General features: G+C 36.5%; 3 annotated features.

Annotated features, from left to right (window-relative positions):
* Nucleotides 1125–1659: an enhancer, noted in NCBI's record as "H3K27ac-H3K4me1 hESC enhancer chr5:165571943-165572477 (GRCh37/hg19 assembly coordinates)". NCBI's record gives its function as "activates a minimal SCP1, AML or CMV promoter by ChIP-STARR-seq in naive H9 embryonic stem cells {active_cell/tissue: H9 hESC(naive)}" and the evidence as "EXISTENCE:reporter gene assay evidence [ECO:0000049][PMID:30033119]".
* Nucleotides 1660–2193: an enhancer, noted in NCBI's record as "H3K27ac-H3K4me1 hESC enhancer chr5:165572478-165573011 (GRCh37/hg19 assembly coordinates)". NCBI's record gives its function as "activates a minimal SCP1, AML or CMV promoter by ChIP-STARR-seq in naive H9 embryonic stem cells {active_cell/tissue: H9 hESC(naive)}" and the evidence as "EXISTENCE:reporter gene assay evidence [ECO:0000049][PMID:30033119]".
* Nucleotides 22064–22818: an enhancer, noted in NCBI's record as "OCT4-NANOG hESC enhancer chr5:165592882-165593636 (GRCh37/hg19 assembly coordinates)". NCBI's record gives its function as "activates a minimal SCP1, AML or CMV promoter by ChIP-STARR-seq in naive and primed H9 embryonic stem cells {active_cell/tissue: H9 hESC(naive and primed)}" and the evidence as "EXISTENCE:reporter gene assay evidence [ECO:0000049][PMID:30033119]".

A 27911-nucleotide genomic window follows, 5' to 3' on the forward strand; every position in this document is an offset into this window, starting at 1 on the left:
GGCTGGTACCTGTTGTTCCTTTCCATGTTTAGCGCTTCCTTCAGGAGCTCTTTTAGGGCAGGTCTGGTGGTGACAAAATCTCTCAGCATTTGCTTGTCTGTAAAGTATTTTATTTCTCCTTCACTTATGAAGCTTATCTTGGCTGGATATGAAATTCTGGGTTGGAAATTCTTTTCTTTAAGAATGTTGAATATTGGCCCCCACTCTCTTCTGGCTTGTAGGGTTTCTGCCGAGAGATCCGCTGTTAGTCTGATGGGCTTCCCTTTGAGGGTAACCCGACCTTTCTCTCTGGCTGCCCTTAACATTTTTTCCTTCATTTCAACTTTGGTGAATCTGACAATTATGTGTCTTGGAGTTGCTCTTCTCGAGGAGTATCTTTGTGGCGTTCTCTGTATTTCCTGAATCTGAACTTTGGCCTGCCTTGCTAGATTGGGGAAGTTCTCCTGGATAATATCCTGCAGAGTGTTTTCCAACTTGGTTCCATTCTCCGCATCACTTTCAGGTACACCAATCAGACGTAGATTTGGTCTTTTCACATAGTCCCATATTTCTTGGAGGCTTTGCTCATTTCTTTTTATTCTTTTTTCTCTAAACTTCCCTTCTCGCTTCATTTCATTCATTTCATCTTCCATTGCTGACACCCTTTCTTCCAGTTGATCGCATCGGCTCCTGAGGCTTCTGCATTCTTCACGTAGTTCTCGAGCCTTGGTTTTCAGCTCCATCAGCTCCTTTAAGCACTTCTCTGTATTGGTTATTCTAGTTATACATTCTTCTAAATTTTTTTCAAAGTTTTCAACTTCTTTGCCTTTGGTTTGAATGTCCTCCCGTAGCTCAGAGTAATTTGATCGTCTGAAGCCTTCTTCTCTCAGCTCGTCAAAGTCATTCTCCATCCAGCTTTGTTCTGTTGCTGGTGAGGAGCTGCGTTCCTTTGGAGGAGGAGAGGCGCTCTGATTTTTAGAGCTTCCAGTTTTTCTGTTCTGTTTTTTCCCCATCTTTGTGGTTTTATCTACTTTTGGTCTTTGATGATGGTGATGTACAGATGGGTTTTTGGTGTGGATGTCCTTTCTGTTTGTTAGTTTTCCTTCTAACAGACAGGACCCTCAGCTGCAGGTCTGTTGGAATATCCTGCCGTGTGAGGTGTCAGTGTGCCCCTGCTGGGGGGTGCCTCTCAGTTAGGCTGCTCGGGGGTCAGGGGTCAGGGACCCACTTGAAGAGGCAGTCTGCCTGTTCTCAGATCTCCAGCCGTGTGCTGGGAGAACCACTGCTCTCTTCAAAGCTGTCAGACAGGGACATTTAAGTCTGCAGAGGTTACTGCTGTCTTTTTGTTTGTCTGTGCCCTGCCCCCAGAGGTGGAGCCTACAGAGGCAGGCAGGCCTCCTTGAGCTGTGGTGGGCTCCACCCAGTTCGAGCTTCCTGGCTGCTTTGTTTACCTAAGCAAACCTGGGCAATGGCGGGCGCCCCTCCCCCAGCCTCGCTGCCGCCTTGCAGTTTGATCACAGACTGCTGTGCTAGAAATCAGCGAGATTCCGTGGGCGTAGGACCCTCAGAACCAGGTGTGGGATATAGTCTCGTGGTGCACCGTTTTTTAAGCCGGTCTGAAAAGCGCAATATTCGGGTGGGAGTGACCCGATTTTCCAGGTGCGTCCGTCACCCCTTTCTTTGACTCAGAAAGGGAACTCCCTGACCCCTTGCGCTTCCCAGGTGAGGCAATGCCTCTCCCTGCTTCGGCTCGCGCACCGTGCGCGCACCCACTGGCCTGCGCCCACTGTCTGGCACTCCCTAGTGAGATGAACCCGGTACCTCAGATGGAAATGCAGAAATCACCCGTCTTCTGCGTCGGTCACGCTGGGAGCTGTAGACCGGAGCTGTTCCTATTCGGACTTTCTTCACAGAATTGGAAAAAACTACTTTAAAGTTCATATGGAACCAAAAAAGAGCCCTCATCGCCAAGTCAATCCTAAGCCAAAAGAACAAAGCTGGAGGCATCACACTACCTGACTTCAAACTTTACTACAAGGCTACAGTAACCAAAACAGCATGGTATTGGTACCAAAACAGAGATATAGATCAATGGAACAGAACAGAGCCCTCAGAAATAACACCGCATACCTACAACTGTCTGATCTTTGACAAACCTGAGAAAAACAAGAAATGGGGAAAGGATTCCCTATTTAATAAATGGTGCTGGGAAAACTGGCTAGCCATATGTAGAAAGCTGAAACTGGATCCCTTCCTTACACCTTATACAAAAATCAATTCAAGATGGATTAAAGATTTAAACGTTAGACCTAAAACCATAAAAACCCTAGAAGAAAACCTAGGCATTACCATTCAGGACATAGGCATGGGCAAGGACTTCATGTCCAAAACACCAAAAGCAATGGCAACAAAAGACAAAATTGACAAATGGGATCTAATTAAACTAAAGAGCTTCTGCACAGCAAAAGAAACTACCATCAGAGTGAACAGGCAACCTACAAAATGGGAGAAAATTTTCGCAACCTACTCATCTGACAAAGGGCTAATATCCAGAATCTACAATGAACTCAACCAAATTTACAAGAAAAAAACAAACAACCCCATCAAAAAGTGGGCGAAGGACATGAACAGACACTTCTCAAAAGAAGACATTTATGCAGCCAAAAGACACATGAAAAAATGCTCATCATCACTGGCCATCAGAGAAATGCAAATCAAAACCACAATGAGATACCATCTCACACCAGTTAGAATGGCAATCATTAAAAAGTCAGGAAACAACAGGTGCTGGAGAGGATGTGGAGAAATAGGAACACTTTTACATTGTTGGTGGGACTGTAAACTAGTTCAACCATTGTGGAAGTCAGTGTGGCGATTCCTCAGGGATCTAGAACTAGAAATACCATTTGACCCAGCCATCCCATTACTGGGTATATACCCAAATGACTATAAATCATGCTGCTATAAAGACACATGCACACGTATGTTTATTGCGGCATTATTCACAATAGCAAAGACTTGGAACCAACCCAAATGTCCAACAATGATAGACTGGATTAAGAAAATGTGGCACATATACACCATGGAATACTATGCAGCCATAAAAAATGATGAGTTCATGTCCTTTGTAGGGACATGGATGAAATTGGAAATCATCATTCTCAGGAAACTATCGCAAGAACAAAAAACCAAACACCGCATATTCTCACTCATAGGTGGGAATTGAACAATGAGATCACATGGACACAGGAAAGGGAATATCACACTCTGGGGACTGTGGTGGGGTGGGGGGAGGGGGGAGGGATAGCATTGGGAGATATACCTAATGCTAGATGACGAATTAGTGGGTGCAGCGCACCAGCATGGCACATGTATACATATGTAACTAACCTGCACAATGTGCACATGTACCCTAAAACCTAAAGTATAATAAAAAAAGAAAAGAAAAAAAAAATTAAAAAAAAAAACAAAGAAACAAAAAAAACTAAAAAAGCTTCTGTGCAGCAAAGAAAACAACAAAGTGAAGAGACAACCCGTAGAATGGAAGAAAATATTTGTAAACTATTCCTCTGACAAAAGATTAATGTTCAGAATATACATGGAGATCAAACAACTAAACAGTAAAAGAGCAAATAACCCAATTTTAAAATGGGCAAAGGATCTGAATAGACATTTTTCAAAGGAAGACATACAAATGACCAACAATTATATGAAAAATTCTCAACATCACTAATCATCAGGGAAATTCAAATTAAAACCACAATGAGATCTCTTGTCACCCTAGTTAGAATGGCTATTATCAAAGAGACAGAAATAACAAATGTTGGCAAGGATGCAGAGAAAGAGGAACTCTTATACACTGTTGGTGGGAATATAAATTAGTACAGCCATATGGAAAACAGTATAGAGGTTTCACAATAAAACTAAAAATAGAATTACCATACTATCCAGTAATCCTACTATTTGGTATTTATGTAAAGGAAAGGAAATCTGTATATATAAGAGATATGTGCACATGTTTATTGCAACACTACTCATAATAGCCTAGGTATGGAATCAATCTAAATGTCCATCAACAGATGAATGAATAAAGAAAATGTGGTATATATATACACAATGAAATATTATTCTGTCATTAAAAAACAATGAAATTCTATCATTTACAGAGACATGGATGAACCTGGAGGACATTATGTTAAATGAAATACGCCAGACAGAAAAATAAATAATACATGTTCTCACTCAAATGTGGGGACTAAAAAAGTTGAGCTCATAGAACTACAGAGTAGAATTTTGTTTACTAGAGGCCGGGAAATGTAGGAAGGATGCGGGGTAGAGAGAATTGTGTTAATGGATACAAAATTACAACTAAATAGCAAGAATAACTTCTAGTGTTCTATAGCACTGTAGGGTAACTATAGTTAACGTTAATTTATTATGTATTTTCAAACAGCTAGAAGAGAAGATTTTGAATGTCCCCAACACAAAGAAATAATAAATATTTGAGGTGATGCTTATGCCAATTATCTTGATTTGGTCATTACACGTCATATATGTAACAAAATATACTCTATCTCATAAATATGTCCAATCATGTCATGTCAGTTAAAAAATTTTTAAGAAGTAATGAAGACCTGCTCCCTCAACATCTATGAAAGCCATTCAAAACATATCTTTAAGATAAATATGACCAATAGATCTTAAAAGTGTATACCTGATTTCAGTACCTACTCATTTTGAGGGTAAGACTAAAGAAAAGAATCAGGATTTTTATTGTTTTTTTTTGTTTTTGTTTTTGTTTTTGTTTTTCTTAGAGATCTTCTTGACTGTTACACAAATTGCTGTACCTCTTCCCTAATAGCCTTACTACCCTAGTGTGGTTATGAATAGGGGAGTGCATTGTCAAATATTGTCACATTCTTCCCTTAGAATAATTGATTTCTATTCAACTGGCATTTTACAGAACAATTTCTCTAGCTTTACTTACAAAAGTAACTGTCAAATTCCACCTTACAGAATTCAGTTACAATAACTTTATTAGAAATATGCATTAATCAAACATAAAATCAAAGATAACTCATACTTGAGACAGCGAGGTTTTCATAAAATCACTTTCTGTCCTAGAAGCAGATGTCTGAGACATTTTTGTTAATAAAGATCACTAGATATACATCCTTACCAAAATAGAACATGTCCTATCATGCAATTTGAAAATAGATATAATCATTGTACTCTATTCCTCCTTTATATATCTTTCTCAAATTGTAAATTCTGAATTATTTCCTAGGGAAAAGAAAACAGGGAAATAGTAGGTTCATATTAGCAAAAAAAAGTAAAATTATTTGAAAAATTTAAATAGGTAGTAAAATTTCAAAATATACAATTGTATTTCTGTCAACCAAAAAAAATATGTATGTAAAAAAAGGGGGAATTTAAATTAAAGCAGTTTTTTTTTTTTTTTTTTTTGAGATAGTTTTGCTCTTGTCGCCCAGGCTGGAGTGCAGTGGTGAGATCTCAGCTCACTGCAACCTCTGCCTCGCAGGTTCAAGCAATTCTCTGGCCTCAGCCTCCTGAGTAGCTGGGATTACAGGTGCTATTGACTTCGTTCTTAGAATGGTTTAATTTCATGTAGAGTATGTGAAAAAAGAATTTAGAAAATCCTTTATTTTAACTTTATTGTTGAGAGACAAGTGAAGACTTGCCTTAGAAGTATTCTTTGATTTATAAATGACAATATCAATGATTGTTTAAAAGCCATTCAGTTTTTATGAGAAATCGGATTGCACGAATCCCCCTCTTTATCTCCTTCATTCACTCAACAGATATTTATCGAATGTTTTCTATATTCCAAACACTATAGTAGGTCCTGTTGAACAAATATAGATCTGGAGTCTATGAAGGAATTAGACCTGAACCCTAATGAAACTTACAGTCTAATGAAAGAGACAGATATTAAACAAATAATTATATTAATGATGGGGCAAATGTTATGAAGATAAATGTATTAGTCTGTTTTCATACTGCTACAAAGAACTGCCTGAGGCTGGGTAGTTTATAAAGGAAAGAGGTTTAATTGGGTCACAGTTCCACATGGCAGGGTAGGCCTCAGGAAACTTACAATCATGGCAGAAGGCAAAGGGGAAGCAAGCCACAATCTTCACAAGGCAGTAGGAAGGAGGAGTGCCCAGCAAAGGAAGAAGAGCCCCTTATGAAACCATCAGATCTCGTGAGAACTCATTCACTATCATGAGAACAGCATGGGGGAAACCACCCCCATGATTCAATTACTTCATCTGGTCTCTCCCTTGACACGTGGGGGATTATGGGGACTGCAATTCAGGATGAGATTTTGGGTGGAGGACACAGTGAAATCATATCAATAAATATGTCATGTTAAAGACACATAATGGAGGCTTGACTTTGTGGTGTTAAATAGGCTTGACTAAATGAGGAAGTGACAACTGAGCAGGCATGTAAAAGATGAGTAGGTTGAGGCAGAATGGAATAGTAGTCTAGACTAACAGCACATGGAAAATCTTTCTGACAGGAGGGAGCATAACCACCACGGAGAACTGAAAAACAGCTAGTGAGACTTGAGCAGAGGGCAAGGGATAGAAAGTATGATTGGAAATGCATCAGAGATGTTCATCAGAATACATTTAAAGCTGTTGAAGATGGGATCATTTAGGGCGACTGTATATAAAGAAAAGAAAGATGTCCCAGAATTGCCCTAAGACATGCCAGTCTGGGTAGAGGAGATTAATATTGCAAATGATAAAGAGCAACCAGACATAAAATCAAAGCATGAAAATGTAATGTCTAAGAGAATATAGAATCCAAGAGAGTTCAGTGTTTCTAAAAAGAGGAATTGATCAACAGTGCTGAATGCTGTGGAGGCAAAAAAAAGGAGGACTGAAATAAGAGAAAACTGGAAATTGTTAGTGATTAGTTTGATCCAGAATGGAGACAGAAAACAAATTAGAATGAGTTGAGGAAAAAGTAAAAAGTGAATAAATGGAGGCAGAAAATATAGACAGCTCTCCTTCGAAGTTGGTTATAAAGCACTTGACTGGTCGAGTAATGGGAGTGACTTGATTGTGTATTTTAAAAAAATAAGTTATTGTCTTAGTACATTCAAGCTGTTACAACAAAATGCCATAAGTTGAGTAGCTAATGAATAGAAATATTTTCTTAGGGTTCTAGAGGCTGAAATATCCAAGATCAAGGATGCTAGCAATTTTATGTCTACTGAGTTCCTGCTTTTATTTTTGTTTTTTTGTTTTTGTTTTTGTTTGGTTTAACATAGACGGTTCCTTCTCACTGTGTTCTTATATGGTGAAAGGGCACACAAGTTCCCTCTTTTATAAGGGTACTAATCTCGTTCATGAGAGCTCTGCCCTCATGATCTAATCATCCCCTAAAAGTCCCACCTCTTAATACTATTGCATTGGGAATTAGGTTTCAACATGTGAATTTGGTGGGGGAAGGACACAAACATCCCAATCAAAACATACTCAAAAGAAGTGAAAATTGGTACTCAATAAATATGTACATAAATATGTACATACATGTTCATAGCACTATTCACAATAGCTAACAGGAAGAAATAGCCCAAATGTCCATCAGGGGATAATGAATAAAGAAATGGTTGTAAAAAATACAATGTAGTTTTTATTTTATTTTATTTTGAGTTGGGTCTTACTCTGTCACCCAGACTGGAGTTCAGTGGTGCTATCTCGGCTCACTGCAACCTCTGCCTCCCAGGTTCAAGCGATTCTCCTGCCTCAGCCTCCCGAGTAGCTGGGATTACAGGCTGACACCACCACGCCCAGCTAATTTTTGTATTTTTAGCACAGATGGGATTTCACTATTGGCCAGGCTGGTCTCGAACTCCTGACATTAGGTGATCCACCCACCTCAATCTCCCAAAGTGCTGGGATTACAGGCATGAGCCACAGAGCCCAGTGGGAATTTTTTCTTCTGTTGAAAAGGAATGAAATATTGATACATGCTATAACATGAATGAATCTCTAAAACATTATGCTAATGAATATAAACCGGACATAAAATGTTGCAATTGTGATTCTTCCTATATAAAATATTCAGAATAGGTAAACTCATAGAAACAGAAGACAAATTGGCCAGAGGCTGTGGATGGAGGAATAGGGAACAACCATTTAATAGGTCCAGATTCTTTTTTCTTTTGGGGTGAAGAAAATGTTTTGAAACTACATACAGACAGTGGTTGTGCAATATTGTGAACACACTAAATGGCACTGAATTGTTCAACTTCAAATAGGTAATTTTACATCAGGTGAATTTTATCTCCAAAATATTTTAAAACTTAGAGCTATTGAGGAAACCAGGTGGTTTTGCTAGGCTTCCATGTTATAACTCAGTTTAAAAGAAAATCAAAACATAACACAAAAGTTTCAAACATCTACAATTCCGCTTTGAGAATTGTTTTAAATAGCTTAAAATGTAAGTGGTTTGATCTTTATAAAAATATATTGGACTTGAACTGCCTTGATTATTAATCAGTGGAATATAATAAATTTGAACTGATGTCTAAACTGAATTTGAAACAAAAAAATCAATTCCAGTTATCACTATTTTTTTAATTTACTTAGAGATTAGGGATTCTACTTAATAGCATGCTCAATTGGTTATTTATAAGTAAATATTTTATCTTGCAATCTTACTGTATATAATTTGCCAATATACACAAAAAGTTGATATTTACACCCATGTACATACACACACTCTCACAGGATGTTCAATTTATAATTTTTGATAACAAATGCTGGAAATGACTTTAATGTCTATCAATTGATATTAGTGAAATTAATTCTGGTACTTTTGTCCAATAGAAGACTACTTAGCTATGAAAATAAATGTGATAGACCGTAATGTATTAACATAGAGATTGCCACAAGGTACTTTATTTTAAAAAGTGTAAGATGCAGAAGTATCTATGGAATAATCCATTAAGTTAAACACAAGTATATGTATGCACATACTTACACAGGAAGCTTTTAACAAAATAGCTTTATGGGCATAGTTTTATAGTTTAGCTATTTGGTTAGAGGGGTTTTTTACCTTATATGCAGGACTTATTGATAGTGCTGGTAATTTCTAACGTCAACAATATCTGGTTGATGCCATCCTAGGCCATTTACTTTTATGTTTTTTGTATGTAAAAATAGTGACAAAATATATTTTAAGCTAACATGTCATACTGAACATTCTGATAAAATAATACATTTTCCTTAGTTCATCTATATTTATTATTTTTTCCTCTTAATTTCCATTTCTCTTCTATTATAACCTTTTACTCATCAATTTGTATTCCTCCTTTAACTGTGAACTCTTTAGGGCTCTAAAAATTTAGCCTAACACCTAATAGGAATGGTAGATATTTAATAAATGTTTGTATGATCCAAGGTAATATACTATAAGAACATAAGCTTTGAAATAAAATAAACATGAATTTAAATTTTGATTTTGAAAATATCTATCGGATTATCATGGCCATGTTACTTGACTTTACTAAATATCCAGAAAAAAAAAAATAAGATCACGCAGTTCCTATCTTATGGGAATTTAGTAGTGATTACATGATACCACATTTCTAAGGAGCAAGCGCCTGTGATTGTCACGCAGTAAGTCTTCAATAAATTAAGATTGTTTCCTCATTTTTCTTTCTTTCTTTCTTTCTTTCTTTCTTTCTTTCTTTCTTTCTTTCTTTCTTTCTTTCTTTCTTTTTTTTTTTTTTTTTTTTTTGTCAGACAAAGTCTCACTCTGTCACCCAGGCTGGAGTGCAGTGGTGTGATCTCAGCTCACTGCAACTTCCACCTCCCGGGTTCAAGCAATTTTCCTGCCTCAGCCTCCCGAGTAGCTGGGATTACAGGCACCTGCCACCACTCCTGGCTAATTTTTGTATTTTAGTAGAGACAGGGTTTCACCATGTTGTCTAGGCTGGTCTCAAACTCCTGACCTCAGGTGATCCACCCACCTTGGCCTCCCAAAGTGCCTTGGATTACATGTGTGAGCCACTATGCCCAGCCTCATTTTCCTTTTTCTACTCATCACTTAATAGTCCTCTGTAGGCTACGATGTCCTCCTCACAAATACTTTTTTTTTTTTTGAGATGGAGTTTCACTCTTGTTGCCCAGGCTGGAGTGCAGTGCCGCGATCTTGGCTCACTGCAACCTCTGCCTCCCAGGTTCAAGCGATTCTCCTGCCTCAGCCTCCTGAGTAGCTAAGATTACAGGCATGCACCACCACACTCGGCTAATTTTGTATTTTTAGTAGAGAATAGGTTTCACCATGTTGGCCAGGCTGGTTTTGAACTCCTGACCGTAGGTGATCCACCTGCCTTGGCCTCCCAAACTGCTGCGATTACAGGCATGAGCCACCGCACCCGACCCTTCACAAATACTTTATCACATACTTTTTGTGATATCTAACTAAGGAAATTTAGATTGGGAAAGGAGTGAACAAACCTAAAAATAAATTGACACAGGATGTGGAAACTTCCCTCCCATTCAGAGGGAGTAGGGAGTTGGCTAAGAGAAATTAACTTTAAAATGGCATTTTTAATAGAATGTTTTTATAATGTATTACATGTATAAATATGTACTTAAGCATAAAAAAAAAGTTATACTAACTTTGCTTTCAAAGGAGATGTAAGCCGTGGCAGGCAGTATCAGTAACTTAAGAGACCAGTGGGAAAAGCTTTATGTAAGATAATATATAATCCAATTATGGAGATGCAAGTCATCACTGTATGTTAGTCTCAAAGAATTATAGTCATTTCACTACCACCATATTATTTATTACTTTGAATTCCTCAAGGTGAAGGGTTAAGGGAAGTGCCCTTCCAGATATTTTTTATTGTTGCTTTTCTTGGAGGTGGGTGTCAGCTGATTTTTTTTTCATTTTCATTTTTTTCATTTTTTCATTTTTCACTTGTTCATTTTAAGTTGGGCTCTAGAACTTAAGCTTTAGCTATCAGTTGAGAGGGTTTTAAAAATTGCAGAATTAAATCATGAATTTAGATTAATAGCCTTTCAATAATCCATGCCCAGTGAACTAATTACAAAACCACAAGCAGTAGAAAAGATCAGAAATTGCAGTTACCCATAGATTTGAAATGTTGACATTTGGCATCTGGCTCCAAAGTGGATGTTTACACAGTAGTTGTCTTTAATATCTTTTTCCAATAAGTTATATATTATTTTTGACTTGATTATTTTATCCTATATACAGTACACTGAGCAAACAGCTGTTAGCCTGTGCAGAATTAAACATATTTCTTGAGGCATTTTAGATGTTGTAAACATGTCTATTCACTCATTTGCAGAGAATTGTGCCATTGCCTGTCATTGGATTTGAGGAGGTCATCCAATCACAATGAAGTTCAATGAAATCTGAAGACTGGTTAGCAAAGTCTTAACCATAACCACTTGCTATCTATTGAAATATATTGGGAAGCACAGATTGTATCATCATGAAATTTTCACACATGGTGGAACTCCATTTGTTAACAGTCACAGAGGGTGATGCTTGGCATTTTAAACTGCACCACAGTCTTAAATTCATTATCATGTGAACTGATAAGATCTAGTACAGAATTTAAAAATGGGTCATTGTTGGTTGTGATTTTTATTAAAGTCATCTGATTTTGATTTTTCAGTTTAATAGTCCATTTCCTCTTTGTAAGTGTGTGTTCTATGGAATCACAAATAATCATTTTAATCACTAGTATTTCTGAGATGAGATCATATGATACCCATATGTCTCGAGTTGCCTTCATACAAGGTCACACACAGTTTGTAGCTGGGAAGAAGAGCTAAAATGAAGCCAACAGGACAGAGGAACTTTTCAGGCAGGTGCGGTCTAATAGGCCCAAAAGGTTTGGAATTGCCTTCAAAATCAGGGAGATCCAAGTAAAACATCCTTTTTCCACTACTTCTGAGCTAAATCGCTTTGGGAATAGTAATTCGTTATTCATTCATTCAGTTGGTAAGTTGATAACATTTATAACATGATGGGAGCTTGCAGCCCAGCACTGTTGAGCACCGGGGAAATAGCAGTGGACTAAAAAGTTCCTTAATTCTGAGAGTGCAGGGGCACATGGAGGAAATAGATAGAGACAATAGCAAATATCAAGTACAGTGAGTCTCCAAAGGAGGACCTAATCATGGGGGCTAGAGGAGGCTTGTCTAATAGAACCCAGGTCAAAGCTGAAGCCAGAGAATGAAAAGCCACGTTAGTGAGTAGGGGAATTCAGGGAACCAGGTCTGCCAGAGCAGGGGCAGCACATGTGGATTCCCACAGACTGACTAGCTTGTTTGGGGGACTGAAATGAAGCCTAGCTGATCCAGACAGTAAGGGGTGAGTCTGCAGAGGACAGTGGTGGCCAGATACGGAAAGGCCTTGAAAGAGATGTCAGAATTTTAGATTGTTTTCCCCCCTAAGAACGTTATTTAGTATTTCTAAATGCCAATTGATTTAGCTATAAATTAAGATATCATCTATCTCATAGGTTTTTGTTTAAAGATTATGTGAGATAAAGATATCTCATAGAGTCCAAAATTATATATATAACTCCACTTCCAAATATTTTTTAATATAAAATTTTCTTAGAAAACAAGGCCTGGCACATTTTAACCATTTTATAAACATTGGTTATTCATTTTGTTGATTTTGTTATTGATAGCATTCTTATTAAATAAGCAGATTTGGGGAGAAGAGTCAGGACAGCATAATGGCTGAGAAGTCAGAACTAATTGTAAGCATATTTGCTAGTAAGGAGTCTCACAACTAGATACTTTCCAGAAGATCCTACCAACTTCAGGAGGAAAGTGAGTGACAAGCAGATTATCTTTGTTCTAAACTCGGAGGGCCTGGAGCAGTGGTTCTTAATCAACAGCAATTTTGCTTCCACAGGAAATATTACTGCATGTCACAACTGGTGGGAAGGAGTGGTTTATAGAGACCAGTGATGCTGCTAACATCCTACATTGCACAGGACTACCGCCTACAACAAAGTATTGTCAATAGTGCTGAGTGTGGGGACCCCTTACTCAGGGCATGCTGGCCAAAGTTAGAATGGGGCCACAGTTGGCATGAGGTGCCCACTGCGGTTTCATGTCTTTCACGTTATCCCTTGGTTGTCTATACCTTCCTTTCCCTCTGTTATAGTTTTTCTCTACCTTGTTTCTCCTCTGTTGTAATGGAATACAAAGTATCATATGGTGAATTACATACATAGTTTTCTCTGTCTCAAAGCTGCTGAAATATGTATACCTTCTCTAACTAATCAGCTTAAGCAAACCTCTGCAGTGGGTGGTAATTGTAGCTGACAATAGCAATCATGTGTTCCTAAAGTGGCAGTGGAGAAACATGAAGATTATGTGGGAGTGTCGAATCTGTGATTTAGGCGGGGCAGTGTCAAACATCTGCAAACAATATTGCTGGAACATCCAAATTAAACAAAACAATTTTTAAAAGAATATAAAGTTAGCATAATAACTAGAATCTAGGGGGAAAATGTAACAAATGACTTTCTACTTCTCTAGAATAAACTGAAGAATTCTATAGTCAAAGCACATTATTGATTGTGCCAAGAGGTTTTGTATACAATCTCTCCAATTTCCTTAGGGATTTCTATATTTCTTTTTAGTGCAACATTACTTTAATTGGATGTCAAGTAAAAGAAGTGGCTGGAAGCACCCATGTTTTATAATTTCTAATTTCAAAATTGATAAGAACACATGCTTCTGTGGTGTTTATGTGTATGATTTGCCAGAGTTATTATTTAAAAAAAAATTTGTAAATGTTAATTTTCCTTAGGCAGTCCACATTTATTTTAAATATTAAAAAATGAAGTTAGTAAATACATTATAATGCATGCAAGAATCAGATATGTGTATATTAATTTTTGTGTGCACAATTTAATTTTGTGTGAGGCACTTTCTTAAATAATGGTTATTAGAATCTATTAAATTCAAACTTTATTTTTCATAATGCACAGGTAACAGGAATCTCTCCCAAACCTAAAAGTATTTAACAAATTTCACAGCTCAAGTAAAAGGAAAAAGAAAATAAGTGTAACTTTTAAAAGGTTGCAAACACTTATGGCATTTTTAACCTTACCATTCTGAAGTAATAAAAACTATAAAGTATCAGAGTGGGGTCTGGGCTAACTGAGTAAAAGCCACAAGATCCAGGCTAGTATTTCAAAACAGCAATCTGATTATGTCATTCCTCCCTTAACATATTTTCATGGTTTCTCATTACTCTTGGAATAAAAACCACTCTCTAACCTAGCCTAGCACCCTGTACAACTTCTGGCTACCTCTCCAGCACCCCTCACACCAGGTACCTGTTGCCGCAGGGCCTTTACACCTATCATTTCCTTTGCTTAAAAGCCTCATCTCAGTTGCTCCTTGTGCCACTCTGGTGCTTAATCACTCGGACTAAGTCAAATCTCTATGTAATGCATAATCAGAACACCACAACCTGTCCTTTATATTTTTATTGCAATGGTTAATTTTTTTGATTTGTGTGCTGATTTCATGCAAGAAACAGCAAAGAATTGCTGTTATTTTTGTAATTAATTTGTTACAGATATACAGGGTTTATCAGTCTTATTTCCCAGTCATTTCTTATGGTGGCCCAATTGTGGAAAAGACGAGCCCACGAGAGAAGAGGTTAATAATTATAAATATGACTCATGTTTGTATAGAGCTTTATATTTTGCTAAGTCTATTCTATGTCTTATTCTCATTTGATCATTGTAATAATCTCAATGGTGATGTAGGAAAGTTATCTATTCAGCAAACATATTTTTAAGCAACTGCTATGATGCGGAGAACTAGGGAGATATGTATATATATGTTGCTTTGCTATATATATAACATTTATATATATAAATAGTATATAAATGTGTATAATTGTGTGTATGTGTGTGTGTATATATGTAATGGGGAGGAGAATAATGTATAGGTATAAATTAAATAGGTAACATTATACAGGTAACATATAGGTAAAATTATATAGGTATATAGTAACATATAGGTAACATTATAATACAGTAATATTATATAGGTAACTTTATGTAGTAACATATAGGTATAAATTATATAGATATCATATATAGGTATAATACCTATATATTATATACCTATATAATAGAAATTATATACTTTATATATAAATTATATAATAAATATATTTTAAGATATAAATGTATAAATTATACCTATAAAATTTATACCTATATAATTTATATAGGTATAATTTATAATTTATATAGGTAATAATTTATAATTTATATAGGTATAAATTATATAGGTATATTATATAGGTATGTGATAGGTAAATTATATAGGTGTAAAAAATTATATAGGTATAATTATATAGGTAGCATTATATAGGTATAAATTATATAGTAATATTATGTAGGTAACATTATATTATAGTAATATTATATACGTAACATATAGTAACATTATATAGGTATAAATTATAAAGGTATATATACACACACCTATATATAACATTATATATACATAAATATATATTAAGCATATATTTATATTTATAACATGTGTTTATACTTATAGTATTATATATAGGAATAAATTTGTGTGTGTGTGTGTGTGTGTGTATATATATGCACACGCACACACACACACACACACATACATAAATGTTTCTCTCCTACCTTCAAGGAGGTTGTTTTTTCACTGGATGTGGGAGAGGTATGGAAAAACAAAAATAACTACCTACCATGGAATGTCTTTAGGGTTGTGTTCAACATAAGACAAAACTGGTGCATGAATGAGAACAGTAAATGGTTAATTCAGCCTGAGGAAGGCAAAGTAGTGGGAATAACATTCTGGGCAGAAGCAGCAACATAAATAAATGGATACATGACTGTACATGGTTTGTGTTGATGTGACTCTGAGATGCCGAAGATATTGATAGAAGATGGCACACAGTTCCACCCACCTTGGTCTCCTTTGTATTTCTCTGTGTTGGTACCATTCCCAAAGCAGCCTCTCCCTTAGCAATGATAACAAAATCCAGTCTCATATGATTTCCTCTCAACATTTCCAATAAGATTCTCAAAACTGTGTCTCATGGGCTCCATATGGGTGAATCAGCCACTTTTTTAAGCCTGATTGGCCACATCTAATTTAAAAGCGCACTTCAAAACTCAGATCCAGATTAGATGTAGCCAAGCCACGTGTCTTAAAACAGTAATTCTAAAGCTGTAGCACATATTAGCCTTCCCACGAGACCTTATTAACATGCAGATTGCTGGGCCAAATGCCCCAGAACATCTGATTCAGCATGTCAGGCTTTTGGCCTGATCATTTGCATTTATAACAAGTTTTTAGGTGATGCTGATGCTGCTGATACAGGGGCCACACTGTGAGAACCACTGCCTTTGAGAACTGGAAGGATGGTTTCCCCTGAAAAATCTGAGGGCTGCTGCCTACAGATGTGACTGGATTCCAGGTTACCTGATGGCACACAATTAAACTATGACTGCTTGTGCAAACTGTGAAACCTATGACAATTGTTTGCACATTGGCCTTTTTTTTCTTCTTGATCTTTCTACTCTGGTTATTCAGTAGCCTCACAATACTTTTCTGGCTATACAAGGTTGCTCACCTTTAAGCACTGGATCATTTTCCATTGAAGTGTGTATTCTCTGTTTGCTCTTCTCAGGATAACTTGACCCAAAGATCTAATGGTTGCATGGCCACTACAAGCACAAAAGGTACCAGAGTTTTTGGATTAAGGACCCTGTTTTGCCATTTATGTGACCTTTGGTTGCTTAATAGCTGTGTGCCTTGGTTTTCTTATGTGTAAAATATTGGTAATAATATCTAGTAGTTATAACTATGCCGTAGAATTGTCAGGATTCCATGAGATAATATATATAAAGAGTTTAGAATAATTTCTGACACATACTTAAAGACAATATAAGCCTTAGTCATTCTTATAAAGTGTTTACTGTCCGTGGCGTTAAATAATTAGATTTGATAGGTTTTAGAAAAGAAGGGGCCCTGAAATGCTATTAGAGTGTAATTCCATCCTTTAATAGTTGATATAACTACAGAGAACTTTATTATCTCACCAAGGATAAAGAGAGATGGTCAGTGGTCCCAGAACTCAGGTTTTCTGTGCTCATGCTACAATACCACGTTAAGTCTAACTTCTTTCCAACAAAACATGACTCCTCATGGAAAGACCATGGATTTGGAAAGCACAGAGGTAGATTGGGATTCCATTTTTTTCCCATATTCTAACCAAATAGCTTTAAGCAAATCAAGTGCTCCCTTGGAGCCTGTGTTTACCTGTCTTTGAAATGGGATTAAAAATAGGCTGGGCATGGTGGCGTGTGTCTGTAATCCCAGCACTTTGAGGGGCCAAGGCAGGGACATGACTTTAACCCAGGAATCTGAGACCAGCCTGGGCAACAAAGCCAGATCCAATGCTACAAAAAATAAAAAAAAAAAAATAGCTGGGCATGGTAGTGCATACCTGAAGCCCCAGCAACTAGGGAGGGTGAGGCAAGAGGATCACTTGAGCCCAGGAAGTTGAGGCTGCAGTGAGCTGTGATCTCACCACTGCACTCTAGCCTGGGTGACAGAGTGAGACTTTGTTTCTAAAGGAAACAAACAAACAAACACAGAAACCAGAAACATTTTAAGTGATATGTGAGGCCTAAATACAGAAATATGTATAAAGTGCCTGGAGAAATACCAGTTTGTTAGTACATGTTAAATTCCTTTCCTTTTTTCTATTTCTTTGCATAAGCCTATTGCATCTAAGCAAAAGCCTTTTCCTGTTATGCCAGTGGAATGACTAATGGTAGAAATTGTAGAGTGTATGTAGATTATATGGCAACATGATGAGGCAAAGTGTGATGTGACTTCAAAGTGTGATGTGATGCCTATCTACTTTAGCAGGACCTTTGTGCCATGTAAGGGTGAAAAAGGAACAGCAAAGATAGTGGACCACGACTAACATGGCTGACATGCTGTTTTGAAAATGAATTGAATATTAGTTTTTAGTTGAGGGTTTACATATTTCCAGACTTCTTTATGGGAATGGTAGGGGAAAGGCTGAATATACTCATCCTGAATACTGTGAAATAGGGGATACCTCTCTACTTATGATCCTCCCCCACTTTTTTAAAAATATGCTGGCCACTATCTGGTGTGGAAAATTGGCCTGTGCTTGTCTTTAGAACATGCTCCAAAGCATGCCTCTGACTTTGCTGGAAAGGCGTTCTCCTGTCTGTTGATATCTTTTTCTACATTCTCCATTTGCGTAAATCTGATGGAATCTTTTAGACTAGCTCAATTGCCTTCCTTCATGAAGTCCTGCTCGGGTTGGACTGCATCAATTGCTGATCTCAGAGTTCTAGTTTGCTAGATGTCTTTAAAAATATTTATTACCAACATGGCACATGTATGCATATGTAACAAACCTGCACGTTGTGCACATGTACCCTAGAACTTAAAGTATAATAATAAAAAATATAATATTTATTATACAATTAATACATATACAAATTTGAAACTAACAGACATAAGTGTAAAGCATAAAACAATCACTTGCAATTTCACTAGCCAGAAGAAAGTGCGCTCACATTTTTCAAGCATGAATGTGTGTATGTGTAAAGAAATACTTGTATGTATGTGTGTATATACTTATGCATATACAATTATATAACATCTAGTATCCTGTATCTTGCTCATTTACTTAACATTATACTATAAAATGTGAAAAATATGACTAGTACTTTTTCATCTGTACATTTACATGAATCTTAGTAGTCAGATATAAGTTCTTCATAAGACATTTTAAAGTTATAAATAAGTAGCAAGACATGACTGGTTTCCTGGCTACTTATTTACTATGGGATCTTAGGCAAATTACTTATCCTGTTAATTTTTATGAAAAAATATTTAACTTGGTTGTTCTGAAAATCAGATGAAATAATGCAAATAAAATACGTAATATATGCCTGACACACTCAAAAACATTTTCATCACTATTGTTCACATTGTCAGTATTTATTTGTTAATTCAATATATGACAACTATGTGTCCAGAAATATGTTAGCTCTAACTTAACTTCTAGGAGCTTAAAACCTATTTAAGAAATTTTTACTACATAACAGTATTTCCACAATTGACAATAGGAAGTGATGGATAAGTTTGTACTAAATTAGAACAGCCAAGACTTTAGTTTTAAAAATTAGGTAGTGATACAAAAAAAATTGCAGAGAACAAGATTTTCTATATCTCGAAAGAGATTTTATAATGAGCTATCCAAACTTGTAACCAGCAACCTCAGTAATTTTCTTTTATCTTTTAGATTCTATAGTAAAAAAGGAAAGCCAAAATAGCCCTGTCACATCCAGCCACTGTCAATTAATGCCTGGAACTGGATTAACTACTAGTAAACCAATTCAAGTAGCACGAGACTCACCAGCTGTCAGGCACGGTTAGTCTCCTTGGAGGGACCACATACATATCCTGTTGCCAAGGAAAATGGCCTATAACATCATCTTTTTTCAGGGCACGGGTAAATTCCTGTCTCATTCGTACAAAACCTTCAGAACTCTAGGAGGCCACGGGGTATAGATTAAAATTCATGCCTAGCAGAAACGGCTTCCATACTCCTCACTACACTCTCCTACACAATATTCAAAAGAGAATCCCAAGGACTTAGCTGTGTCTCAGCTCTGCATTTGAACTCCATTCATGTACATGTGGAGAACAGCTAGTGTTTTACAAAGGGCAGAGGTGGTTACATTGAAAGTCCTTGGCATTATCACAAATCCCTATGTTTGTATTCTTTTTTATGGGATCCACAAGATTTTATCTATTGCATTCTTTTTTACCTAATGCCTTTGTTGTCAGGGTTGGAACATTGTTGAATTCCGGCAAACAATGGGAATGAATTGGTTTTATACAAACAACTTTGTGTGTGTGTGTGTGTGTGTGTGTGTGTGTGTGTGTGTGTGTGTGCGCGCATGCATGCATGTTTCCCAAAGACCAGAAAAGCAAAGGAGACTATTAAAATCTTAAAGCAAATCTGTGGGTTACTAGGCCTACCTGGGTCTTTATTTACTGTGTTCCACTGGATTACTGACTAGAAACACCTGTTGTAAGAGGAGGAGTACACGTGGCTGGTGCATGAACCTTGGTAAGTCATAGTAAAGCAAGAGTGTAAATACTGGAGTATGCATTCTCTGTCAATTCCATGCTACTTTTGGAGAAGTTTTGGCATTTGCTTCCTTGCATTTGGCACTATAGATTATTTTAATAATGTTTACACTCTTGTTCTGCTCCCTAGCTCTACAAGCTGTTAAGAGAAACCACATTTAAACAAGCATCCCTGCATCTTTTGCGTCTACATGAAGAGGGTAGCAGGCTGTTCCCCAGAATAGTCTGTAAAGAATCTTCTCAAATAAACTACTTTAATGCTAAGCAAAATGCCACATATGTAAAATAGGTAATGCCGGATTATGTAAAATGCTTTTTAAAAGATGAGGGAAAAGGACTTAGCATCAAATAAATCTGTCAGCATGGGGAGTTCCAGAAATAGTTGTAACAGTGGTTTGAATTGCTTAATATTGCAATTACTATTTACTTCTTCAAATTAGCCTCCATTATCTTATGAAAGAATCTTAGAATAATTTATTTGACTCTCCAGGGGCTTGTGGCCATATCATGAATAGATGTTTAAAGAGCCTTCTAAGAGTCTGCTAAAACCTAAATTAATCTTTGTATCAAACACTTTTACTTATTGCTTTCCCCCTTCCAAACACCCCCACAATCCAAATTTCTCAAGGAGGTTTTATTCCTACATCAGTGTTAATGCATTGACATGCAGTAGGGAAATTAGCCTTGAGTTATATGTATCAAGAGAAACAACAAAGCAAATGTGCTTTGTTCTTGGCAAGCTTACTTAATCTCTCAGATATGTAAAGATGAATCAGAAAACAATATGATCCAGCTCATCTTCTTAATTGGAATCCTAGAATGAATGTTAGAGTAAAAAAGTACCATAGAGAATACCCAATCTAGATCCTTCTTTTCCTGTTTGAGAAAAAGGAGGTTTCAAATGCTAAAATAACTGACCCAAGGCCTACAGGCAGGTGTCTGTCAGTATCCAAACAATGCAAACAAGAAACCAGTGCTTGATGTTTCCAATTTCATTTTACCATTTTACTATTCCAGCACCATTGCCTAATCAATAAGAATCAACCGGGAGGGTTTTTAGAAACAGAGATATCTAAGATTCTCTCTTAGAAGATCTGTATTAATAGTTGGAGTGGAGTCTGAGATTCTGCTTTTGACAAATGCCCTGGGAAATAATTAGGATACAGAAATTATAGAAAACTCCACATTCTATCATTCTGTCTTCAGAGATAAAAGATCACTACTAATCAAATAAACTGATATAGGAATTTCTAAAACATATGGCTATGAACTTATTTTAAAACATAGACTTATTGTCTGTGCTTATGTATTAGACCTTAGAGAAGCCGTGCATTTAGACCTGTATGATACATCCATTTATAAGTCAATTGTCCTGGGATCTGATTTTATGTTTATGGTGTTTACATGTCTGTCATCTGTAATATTGGTATTTTTTAGAGTTCATCTAGATCTTTGACCATTCAGTCAGCACTCTGTTTAGTAAGATACGGAATCCAAAGATGCACTAAAACTATCCCAACTGTGCTATAGGAGATGTGCAATAGGAATTAATGTCAGGCAGAAGCAGTTAAAACACTTGGCAACTGCCTGAACTGCTATGCTTGCCGTTTCCTAGAGATAATGCAAATTGTGCTTTGGCAAGAGATTACCTGTCGATTTTTTTTCTTATTTTGTAATTGCTCCCTCACAAAAAACACAGGTTAGACTGTACCGTCTGCTGTCCATGGTGCTAATTGTGGTCTTTGCTGGGAAATGGTACCTTTTACAGAGCCAGCTTGTGAAATCCTTTAACAGATTGTTTGCGATCCCTGTAATTCTGGCAGTGCCAAGCATATTTGAGTACTAGATTCTATGCTCAGTTAGTTTTCCCCCAAGTCACATGAGCTAAGCTTACCTGCAATCATTTAGATATGCATGGTTGACTTTCAGGTAATTTTCAGAGAAAAAGAATGGCAAATGAACAGAAGTTGAAAGTTACACTTTAAAAAGATAGCCTTAACCTCTAAAGCTCACATGGCTTATTTTAGGCATTTCAGAGGCTGTATACTCAACTTCTTGTGTGAATTGTGCTTTTAAACCATCCCATTTGACAATTAAAATGGAAACGTGGAAAAAGCCATTGTTTGTTTTTTCTATAGTCCCATCAATGTGCACTGTGCTGAACAATAGTCAGGGCATGGCAAACAAAGGCTCTGCCCCGTGGAGCTTACAATCAAGCTGCATGATGCAACGCAGAACAATACAATTCAGAACAAGCATGTGGTGATTAACAACCTTTCTAACTGGCATTCTTTGAAGAATAGGAGTTTATATATATACATATAAATCAGTGGGGTTGGGGGGCGGACATATAGTTTCATCTGTAGGGACTTTGACAGAAGATGCAAATCAGCCGTGGGTGCATAGACCAAGGAGAAAAGAAGATCAGGAGGATAGCATGATCAGTAATTAAATATTTCAGGGAGCTGTCTATGCACTGAATGGAGAACTGGAGAGCTCCTAAAAATAATGAGTATAGCCACCTTATGAAACAAAATGGGAACCAACGTGTTTAATAAAGAAGAGTCCCTTTCTTTCCAGTATTTCAGAAAAGGGGATGGGTTTAAAAGCAACCATGGAGAGCAATCGGGGATGATTGTGTATGGTGTGTGCTTAAAAATTTGAAATTTTACTTGAGCCATGAGGCATTTGATAAATAAATTATCCATTGATTAATGGAAGAAGTAATGCAGTTTAGCTACAATTGTGTGTAGAGGAGTCCTTAATCCAGAGCCATGACTGTGTGGATTCAAACATATCTTAGAACTTAATCCAGTGTTGTGTTTGTGTGTCGGTATGGGTGTGTACAACAATTTGGTTAAGTAGAGCAGCTGCTGGAAGCAAGAAGTCATTTATCCTCACTCCAGTAATAATGGCTAATATTTATTGAGTACCTACAATGGCAAAGTAGTATTCTCAGCAGTACTTATCTTATTCATTCCTCACAGAAGCTCTGTGAGGTAGCTGTTGCTACTATTTTAAATCCCATTGCACAGGGCTGGGCACAGTGGCTCATATCTGCAATCCCAGCCCTTTGGGAGATCGAGGTGATCAGATCGCTTGAGCCCTGGAGTTCAAGAACAGCCTGGGCAACATGATAAGACCTTGTCTCTACCAAAAATACAACAATTAGCGGGGAGTGGTGGCAGATGCCTGTAATCCTAGATACTTGGAAGACTGAGATGGGAGGATCACCTGAGCCCCGGGAAGTTGAGGGTGCAGTGAGCCATGATCGTGCCGCTGCACTCCAGACTGGGCAACAGAGTGAGACCCTGTCTCAAAAAAAAAAAAAAATTCCATTGCATGGATGAATAATTTGAGACACACAGAGGCAAAGCAACTTCTAAACCCCATTAATCTGGCCCCAAAACCAGTATTCTAATCACTGTGTTATAAATTCTTTTCAAAATTTCAGGTTCTCATTCTCAGAAAAAAACTACCTTGATGGAAACCCCCTATATTTTCCTGAAGGATAGGGAACATTAATTTATTTGTGTTTGTGTAATATCATATAGTATTCTCCCTATAGGCTTGCATTCTACTCAAATCCCCTATATAAATTGACAGATTAGTATGAATAAGATAATACTGTTTGTGTTAAGTACAATGGATTCAATATCTAAAAGGCTACATAAAATAACAGAGAGGAACACCATGTAAATCCTCGCAGTCCCCTAAAGAATAATATAAAACTAGGAAATAAAATATTTAATAGATTAAAGTCTGAGCCCCTGAAAAATATTAGCAAGGGGTCACTTGCTATATCTGTTCACTGCAGAAGGCCCCAGGGTGGTTTATGGCAGCCTGGGTTCAACAGTATCACATTCAAATAGATTATAACTAAATTTAAAACTTAAATAGTTTTCTTACTGTTTATCTCAGATACAGCAATATAAAAGGTGTTTCTTGCTATGCAGGGATCCCCAACCTTGCTTTTTTTGTTGTTGTTGTTTCTGTTTTTGTTGCACCCAAGCTATTTCTTTATCCTGGAAGCTTTCATAAAATTCTTAAATGTGAATTATTTTAGGTAATGTTTTATTTTAAAATACAGTAGGCCCCAGAGCACCTTTTGCTTCAGATAGGGGGACATGAAAACCAACTGCCATTGGGACCTTTGCTTTCAGAATTATTATGACAATCCTAAAGAAGTTGAGACCACTATGAGTAAAATGCCAAGGGCATTGAAGTATTATATCTTCCTTTCTTGTGAAGTTTAAGCTTGCATAATATCTGTGTTCCTTGAGCTTGAATAACAATTTTCTCATCTTCTCAACACCAAACGAGTGGTTCACCAAATAAAAAAACAGGAAAGGAGAACACAATAAATTTTGTTAAATACTACATTTGCAAAAGAATTTCTAAAACTCCTAAAATGATTTTAAGCAGATATGCATTTGGCTTTTAACTGTAATAACGTAGGTTGGAGTTATAGGCAAATGACAACAACAAAAACTATAAACAGAATTTAAGGGCACAAAGCACTTTTTGCTTTAACTGATGTGGATTCAAGTGTGCAAAGCTTAGGGATGATTTTTCCTCGTTCTCAAGCACTATCATCAGTTCCCGGGTCTTCTTCGATACAACTTTTTTTAAAAAAAATTTCATCCTTTTTGCTCATTTTTTTATTATTCTAAAAATTTTATCATACCTTTCCTATATTAAACAACAACAAAACTACCATGTTTCAAGTCAAACAAGTATGATGATTTACTCCCTTTGAGGATAAAATTCCCAAAAGTACAGTCTAGATTTTCTATTTTGCAAGATACAGGGTCTGCTCCACAACTTCACTGAAATATCTCTTTTAAATATAATTAATAACTCTATTTGTACTTCTTACCTCTTCCTAAATTAAGATATAATTTATATATAGTAAGAAGCACAGATCTTAAGTAGTTATATAATTTATATATTTTGTAAACCACATACCTATGTATATACAGTACATGTGTATCATTCCAGAATATTCCCTCATATCATCTTCTAGATGTGATGAAAGAAATTAGAACACTTGCTACTACAGAGGACAGGGTGGTTTCTTTCATCATAGATTATTTTTTTCCTGTTGTAGAACTTCAAATAAATGGAATCATACAATGCATACTTTCCTGTCTAGCTTCTTTCACTAAGTACAACATCTTTAAGTTTCATGCAAGTTGTTCTGTGTAGCAAGTTTATTCCTTTTTTATTACCAAGTGCTTTTCATGTCGTGAACATACTACAATTTATTAATCCATTCCCTTGTTTATGCACATTTGGATTTTTTACAATTTGGAACGATTCTGTAAAGCTGCTATGAGCATTCTTTCACAAGTCTCCTTGTGAACACGTTTCCATTTCTCTTGGGTAAATGCCTAGGAATAGAATTGCTGAATCATAGAATAGATGTATGCTTAACTCTATAAGAAGCTTTCAAACCATTTTCCTAAGTGGATGTACAACTGTGTATTCTCATTAGCAACATATAAGGTTCTAGTTACTATATCCTCCTGCCAATCATTGGTGTTTTCAGTTTTTTAAATTTTGATCATTGTAGCAGGTAGATAATAATATCTCTGTGGTTTTGATTTGCATGTTCCTGATATTTAAGGATGTGAACTACCTTTTCTTGATTTTACTGTCCCTTTGTGAAGTATTTGCTTAAGTATTTTGTCCATTTTTATTCTGTTTAAAAAATTACTTAGTTGCAGGAAACCCCTCCCTCCTACCATATATACAAATTAATTAAAAATGGAATATGGACTGAAACATAAAAGATATCAAGACCATAAAACTTTGAGAAGAAAGTATTTTTTAAAGTTTTTTACAGCATTGCAGTAGGCAGACATTTCTTAGATGGGACTGAGAAACACTATCCATATAATAAAATATTGCAATATCAGGTTTTACGAAAATTAAAAATCTCTGCTCAACAATTGTCACTATTAAAAAAATCAATAGGGAAGACACAGACTGCAAGAAAAAATCCACAATACATGCTTCTGACAATGATTTGTAGGCAGAATATATGACAAATGATCTTTTAATTATTAAATATATGGGCTTTTCATTTCTTCCTTCTCCAGTTTGGTTTTTCATATCCTTTGGCCCTGTTTGGCCACCCACTTCTTCTTGAAGATTACTTCTCTTTTGGCCGGGCGCTGTGGCTCACGCCTTAATCCCAGCACTTTGGGAGGCCGAGGTGGGTGGATCACGAGGTCAGGAGATCGAGACCATCCTGGCTAACACGGTAAAACCCCGTCTCTACTAAAAATACAAAAAACTAGCCAAGCGTGGTGGCAGGCGCCTGTAGTCCCAGCTACTCAGGAGGCTGAGGCAGGAGAATGGCGTGAACCCGGGAGGCAGAGCTTGCACTGAGCGGAGATCATGCCACTGCACTCCAGCCTGGGCGACAGAGCGAGATTCCGTCTCATTTAAAAAAAAAAAACAAAAAAAAACTTTTAGCTGTTATTTTCCTTATTTGCACATTTTAAACTCTCTTTAATTCATCTGTTTTAAGCTTTTTCACGGTTCCTCTTTGAATAATGTTCTGATGTCTTGTCCTACTTATCTACTCTTTTCAGTCTACACTTTTCCCTGGATGATCTAAATTCTTGCCACTTACAATGTGATCTGCCACCCAACAGCGTCAGCATCACCTGTGAGCTCTTTCGAATTGCAGAACGTCTATACCAGGCCTATACATCAAATCTGCCTTTTAACAAGATCCCCAGGTGACTCCTATATGTGCACATTAAAGCTCCGGAAGAAGCATTGTTGTAATTTATATCTACGGTTTCAACTGTCTCCTCTGGTGACAGTTTCTACATATTTAGTTCATGCTATTCTCCTGTGGTCCAGATTTATACCTCAGTGTGCTAAGCATCTCCAGATGGCTGATATTTAAGTAGGTATGTAAAACACAATATGTTCAAAACAAACTTATTATCTTTCTCTTCTTTTATTTCCCTATCTCAGTTAATGAAGAGGCAAAGCCAAATAATGATTTCTCTTATAAAATAAATGACTAAATATTTTTTAAAATAAAAAGATTCTACTTAAAATAAAATGATTTTGCAATACCCAATTCTGTGACTTACAGGGCACAGCCTGAGTTGGTATGGAAAGACAAAAAATTAAATAAAATTTGTTGTGGTGAATAATAAATTGGGATAATGTACATTAACTCCCTAAAAGAAAGATGATCATTTAGTATCTTTCATCCTCAATAATCTCAAAGTTTGAAATTGAAACAACTTTTTATACATGCAAACAGTTCAGCACCTCACAGGGAAAAGAACATAAAATGCTATATATTTTGCATATACCTGTTATATGATGTCAGAATATCATCAAGTTTTTATCCCATCAACAAATATCTATCAACAAAAACTAAAAATAAAAGCAGCATTTCTACTCAGTTATTCCTAGTCACAAAAAAGCAATTCATTCCACTGGAATGAGAAAAGAAAATGCAAAAGATTTGATTTATATTATATAAAGACTAGAAATTACTGTTGAATTGCTGGACTGAATTATACACATCCCACAGGTACTGAGTTCAATGACAGTTACATTTTTAGTGAAAAATATTTCATTCTCATTCCAGATGTCAGAGTGTCTTCACAGTTATGTCACAGAAGGTAC

The sequence above is a fragment of the Homo sapiens genome, chromosome 5, assembly GCF_000001405.40.
Source record: "Homo sapiens chromosome 5, GRCh38.p14 Primary Assembly".
NCBI classification, from domain to species: domain Eukaryota; kingdom Metazoa; phylum Chordata; class Mammalia; order Primates; family Hominidae; genus Homo; species Homo sapiens.